The sequence below is a fragment of the Homo sapiens genome, chromosome 4, assembly GCF_000001405.40.
Source record: "Homo sapiens chromosome 4, GRCh38.p14 Primary Assembly".
Lineage (NCBI taxonomy): Eukaryota > Metazoa > Chordata > Mammalia > Primates > Hominidae > Homo > Homo sapiens.
Genome location: NC_000004.12, coordinates 111,551,483 through 111,558,069, shown reverse-complemented (window position 1 = coordinate 111,558,069; position 6,587 = coordinate 111,551,483). Strand labels below are relative to the sequence as shown.

The 6,587-nt window shown below is 33.6% G+C and overlaps 1 pseudogene; it reads right to left on the bottom strand.

Moving 5' to 3' along the window:
* RPL36AP23 (ribosomal protein L36a pseudogene 23) lies at nt 5,848-6,236 on the bottom strand (annotated as a pseudogene).

The following is a 6,587-nucleotide window of genomic DNA, read 5'->3' as shown; positions in this document are numbered from 1 at the left end:
AGACAATCCTAAGCAAAAAGAACAGCTGGAGGCATCATGCTACCTGATTTCAAACTATACTAGAAGTCTACAGTAACCAAAACATCATGGTGCTGGTACCAAAACAGATATATAACCCTATTTTTAATTTTTTAAGGAACTTTGATGCTGTTTCCATAATAATGCCTTTACTAATTTACATTCCCACCAACAATGTACAAGAGTTCCCTTTTTTTTCCACATCCTTGCCAACATTTTTTTTTTTTTTTTGGTCTTTTTGCTAATAGCCATTCTATCTGGGGTGAGGTGCCATCTCATCGTGGTTTTTATTTTTATTTCTCTGGTTAGTACTGTTGACTATTTTTCCACATAATCTCAACACAGGCATTCACAATGAGCTTCAATTTATTAAAACATTTAAACTCTTACCAGCTTTAGCGTATTAATCCATATGGTATTACATTAATAAAATTTAAAATCAAGTGACTAAGTAGTTAGAAATTCTATAGAACTTTGTATACCACTGAAAATGTCATTTTTCATTGTACATATTTTTTTCTTATTTAAGATTATTGAAGAAAGCCCGAACCTTAATATTTTCATTTCTCTCTGCTGGCTCTTATTAGTCAATGAGAAAAGACCCACAGAAAATTGTTTTCTTTCCCCTAAGTTTAAGCTTTTGTCATGACAGCATTATAAAAAAGCTGAAGTCTTCTAGACAAATAGATAAATCTCCTAGATAAATATAAGTTAAGGAAAGAGTACACTTAGCTCTAAAGCTGGTAAGAAATCAAAGACCAATCTAATAGAGCAGTGAAAGAGAGTGAATAAGTATTAGATTACATTTTAATGTAAACTGTACTTGAAGAATTCCAATTGTTAGGTTAAGTTAATCAAGTTGCAAAATTTAAATACAAGAACAATTTAAATATATGTTATTGATAATAATGATTCAAATATTAATCATCTTTAGTCATTTCTGAGTAACTTGGAAATTACCACATAGGATGATAATTTGGCAAGCATCTTGACTCTACCTCTGATATTTCATAATGACAGTTTCTTTCAGAAGCGTTAATAACTAAAGCATTTTTTGGCAAAGATTTATATGTTCAGGCCACCAGCATTCTATGGTAGCTGGTTTGTTTTACATCTTTCTTCTGTATTTTGCAAATTTTGACCCTTTGCATCATCTAAGGACTAAATGAAAGAAGTCCTTCTAACAGTAGGTACTTCACTATTGGTTGCTCCTACTTTCATTAATTATATGTTAATTTGCAGTTTAAAGTTTTAAAGAAATAATCAGGAACTCCTCTTTGATATCTAGATGTCATTAAATATTAAGGAGCACTAGAAAAATAAATCATATTTCAATAAAATCATTTGCGTTGATAGTTTTGAATATAAAAAATGAAACTTTCTACTTTCATTTTCTATGCATAGAAACCGGTTCTGTGGAACACTTTGTCTTGTCTGTGGGTTTCAACTTGAAGGTAGATGGGTAAGAACATTGGCATTTCTTCCTATTGCTGTTACTAAAAGATACAGGTACATATGGGACTTTCTTGTACTACTGAAGTAGAGCCGGGAGGCACAGAACAGCAAATCATAAAGGGAAAAACACAGTTCATTGCAAAAATTGAGTTTATCTACCACTGAAAGTCTGTCCTAACCACAAGGGAATTTAAACCAAATGTCCAAAGGAGTCTCAAAATGTCGAACCTGATACTTAAACCATGAGCCATTCTCTGGTGTTTATCCAATGTGATTCTTACACTGACCCCTGGATATTAGAAGGACCCCATGCCCTTGTGGAAGCCTTTCCACATGCTTTCATTATTAAATGAGTTTGTTTAGCTCTGACTTCAATTGTGATAGTAAATAGTATTTCCTACGTTAAAAAGTGAGGATGAACTCTGGGTGGAAATAGTCAGCACATGAATGTCTCCAGTGATTTTCCAGTTTGAGAAGGGAGCGTGAATATTAAAAGAACTTACAGATGTGTTGGGCCTAATTTTTAAAAACTCCTTGCTCATCATTTCAAGAGCACATTTTATTTTACTAGTGCCCTTTGATTTTAACAAATTCTATGGAGTCTATTTCATTAGTTTTCTCTTTAAAAATCATTTCTTCCAGGAGAAATCCTGAAACACATGAAAAATTTGTATTCAATTCAAGCTCCAAGCTTTGTGTGGAACAACACTTCAGAGACCACTCGGAAGCATCCGAAGCTTCAGACCCTGAAAATGCTGTGGTCCGCTTGCTTAACTAGATTGGCTACAGGAAGCAGGTTACACCTGTGCTCTGCTGTCTGCGCTGATTGCCTTTTAGCTTCTGAGTGCAATTCAAGGTGATCATTTTAATCTCTAAGGCCCTGTATGGCTTGGGACCCAGTTATCCGATAAATTGCCTCTTTCCCTGGTCATGGCAATTAATATCAGCCAGAGTGCTGCTACTCACAGTTCCCTGTTCTTAAACTAAGGAACTGAAGGCAGGAGAGTGAGTGTGTGTACAGGAGGCACACCTCTGAATGTGGAAGACCCACATCATTGGCACTTCCTTTCAGGTGAACAAGCATATATATTGTGCATATGGACTTTGCCATCAAAGTTTCTAACTGGCAGTCTAATTTTTGATAATCAGTTTTTAGATTATTTTCAGCACCTCACATATAATTTTCTTTTTAAATATGACTAACATTTTGCTTTGAGAGTATATTCATAACTCTTCAGTGGATGAGTCACACTTTTTAAATTAAAAGTCCCTGCATTATTTAAATTCTCAGAAACATAAATTATGACTGGATTCAATGGAAAGGTGAAGTATTTAATAATAACTGTGAAGAAACACATTAATTCAAAAAATCATTTATCAAAGTCTCACTGTGTGTAAAGCATTTTTAAGCACAAAGACACAGATATAAAACACATTTATATGAAAAAAATACTGTTCAGAATAACTGGCGTACAAAGTTAATGTTTACTACTATCCTCTAATACAAAATTAGAAATGGCATTTGACAAAAATTAATAATATTGTCTAGTCACACAAACATATAAATCTAAACACTGGTAATAATGGACTTATTTGACATTGTGTGTTAGGATTACACATGAATTGGTGATATTGTTTCAAATTTGTCCAAATCTAGGTACCTTCACAAAAAGAAATGCATTAGAAGACTATGAATTACTTTCAGAATTAGAGTGACAACAAAATATTCTATTTTAGCAAAAACAGGAATTTGGAAAAATCTCCAAATCTAAGAATATACTATAGGAAAATCTCTCAAGATGCTTTTCTCAGAATGAATTAATTCCAACTGTTTTTAGATACTGCGCTATTCTACTTTAGATTCAGATATTAGAGAGTGCGGCAAAGGAAAACACCAAAACATTTGCTACAGAATGTAGAAACAAGATAAATTTGTCCATTTAAAATTGGCCGGTGAGAGCTCTCTCTAATGGTTTTAATATTTCTCCAGTCCTGTCATAGAAACTAGCTCTACTTGTTCCCCAACTGCAGTCTAAGCTTCAACCTAAACCTTCTAAATAAATTTTGGCTCTAGTTTGGGAGGATATTGAATGTATTACTTGACATTCTGGCCTTGCTGCTGTGGTCCCCATAATTGAATTTCTGCACCATATACAAGTTTTCAGTGACAGGATCTTCTGCTTTAGCCCCAAGTCTTTTAGTAATTAGAGGCCCCACAATTATTATTGAACCTTCACCGCTCTAAAAGTATTCTCAGAGCACTTCCATTATTTGCCTGATTCATCTCTACTAGTTGATTATCTTACTTTTGATCGAAAGGACGTGGGCATTGAGTTTTGGTTTGACTTTGGTTAATAGTACTTAACACTCCTGTTCTCTTCTCTCTGCCCACTTTTTTCCTTGGACTTTCTTCTGGTTAAAAATCCAGTTCGTGGACGCTTACTGGTGGATACATTTTTAAAAACCTAGTTTTCATTGGTATATGTATTCTTCTCTTTTGATTTTGTTTTGTAAATGTGGCCATCTAATCACCCAAAGCTTTATTAGTCCCTGGGGGTCTTCCTCCAGATTTTTTCCCCCCAGTATAGCTTTCTCTTTTCTCCCCATGTACCAGTTATGATACTTCTAAAATTAATTAACTCATACCCACTGATTAAATCAACAAGTTCTTATTGAGTATCTCTACATAGATATATACCTGTTAATGAAAAGGATGAATTCAAACTTTTAAATTGCTTATGGTCAAGTGAAGAAATGACACAGAGTGAATGCAGGACTTAAAAAACAGTGCAAAGTTATTCTACCTAATTTAGTGCCAAAATAAGAGATATAGACACAAATACTACAGGGATTCAGAGAAGAGAGAATGTTATATGGACGTGCTTAGATAGGGAAGGAAAAGACGAGATTGGATCTTGAAGCTAAAGTGAGGATTGAACCTGGGCAAATAGGTGGAAGGTAGATGAGGGAGGGATACCTGAAAAAAATATTTATAGTATAGAGTTTATTGGATTTGTTCAGTCAGAGAACAATGTTAAAATTGTTTGAAGCTAAGAGCTAAATCACTGGAAGAACAACTAGGGGACACATTTGCAAATGGAAAGTGGCATCATTGTGAAGGCCATGGCCTTTCAATTTCTGTCTAGTTACTGCATCTTTCCGAACAAGGTGAAATTATGATATATTACATAATTCTGTTTTTGAAAAGGTTTACATGGCGAGTGGAAGGAAAATGAAAACAAAGTAATTTTTTTTGTAAGACTGACGGGACCGCACATTTTAGTATTTTTTTTCTGATTATTAAAAGGTGTGGATCAATGTAGAAAATATAGCAAAGTTGAAAAAATATCTAAAACCCTTTTGTTCTTACAGCTGAGAAATAGGCCTTGTTAATATTTAAACAAAGGCATTCCAGTTTTTAAAAATATTTCTTTATATAAAGTTGTTTGTCATTATCATTATATCATAAGCATCTTCTCATTTTTTAGGACATTGAGATATATAAGTACTTAATCTGAAACTGTCCATCTCCTCTATGAATATACAACTTCTCTCAATAACTGAGAATCTCTTTACTGCATATATTCATCACCCAGAGTTCTGCTTTCCTTCTCGTTTTTTAAAAATATTTGCAGCATTTTAAAACCACGTGCAATATTGCAATTTACCAGTAACTATTAAAATCTAATAACAACACTGAATTATCAACTTTAAAATGATACATTTTATGGTATATGAATCACATCCCAATAAAGCTGTTGGAAAAAAATCCAGTAAACTCTCTTCCTGTTTCAAATATATTCCTGTTGTAGCAATTTCTGTAAAATAGTTAAAAATGCAAAAATTCTATAAACATTTTCCAGTTGCATTGGAGCAGTTAAAATTTGAGCTTTACTCAGATTTATGTCTTTTTGTTTTTCAGTGTAAATGGAGGAGATTTTTAAGTGGTTTCTGAAAACTTTTTCTTTTGGGATCATGGAATTTAAGTGTGTATTCTCATAATATGACATGTACTAAGGTTGACATCAGAAGAGAACAATTCTAGTTACATGCTGTGTGACTCTGAAATATCATTTAGTCTTCTGACCTTCAGTTCTTTAAACTGCAGAGAGAACTTTATAAAGCATTCTCTGATTTTTACCAATCCTCTACTTTGAATTTGCATTGCTTCAGAAGTACCTGCCTAATGAATGACAGCTACTCATGAATATGATTAAGCCAGTGTTAAAGTCAAAACTAGACATAAAAAAATGAAGAGACACTAGGTTTATAAATGACTCCTAGAAAAATAAAATGGAATATATAAATCTATATCTTGTGGAATAATTTTCTAAAATTATATAGTTTCTTAACTGTTATTACTTTCTCTTTTTAAATACAAATTCAACATTTTATTTTCTTCATAATAAAACAAAAGATGATGGCAGAACTGGATTACTTGGCCCTTTCTCTCCTTATCTCCTCCCAGTTCAAAATACTTGCATCATTTAATAGCCAGCATTCTCTTAGATCGGCAGTTGGGCTCTATGCACTCAAGCCTTGGCCCAATCTTCTTTGTAGTTTTAGTCTTTTTCTGGAAAATTGGCTTAGTCTGCCCACCATAGCCACTCTGCTTCCTGTCATAACGCTGCTTTCCCTGGGCATACAGAAAATCCTTGCTCTTCTTGTACCGTGTCATTTTCTGGGGTTGGTGCTTGCACACTTCGTACAGAAAGTCTGGCGGGTTTTTGGAATGTTCGCCATGTTTGTGGAGTACTATCAGCACTGTTATTACTCTCAATTGTATAATTTATAGTTTAAAACATTTGAAGTTCACTTAATATCAGGATGTACATTTATTTTTCTATAGAGTAGCTACTTTTTAATTCTTTTGACATCGTAGCAAGGAATAAAATATCTCCCCTGGACTTTCAAAGAGAACTGAGACCAGATGACACCCTGATTTGCCTTCCCATTCTTTAAAAACAACGGAATGATGTTTCATGAGTTCTAAGAGACTAAAAATCACACAGTATAGAAACTTAGGGTCCACACTTCCACTATTACATCTTCCACTATATTGTGCTTCTTAAAACCTAGATTTAAAATTAATTTAGTGGAATGGTCCATGACAT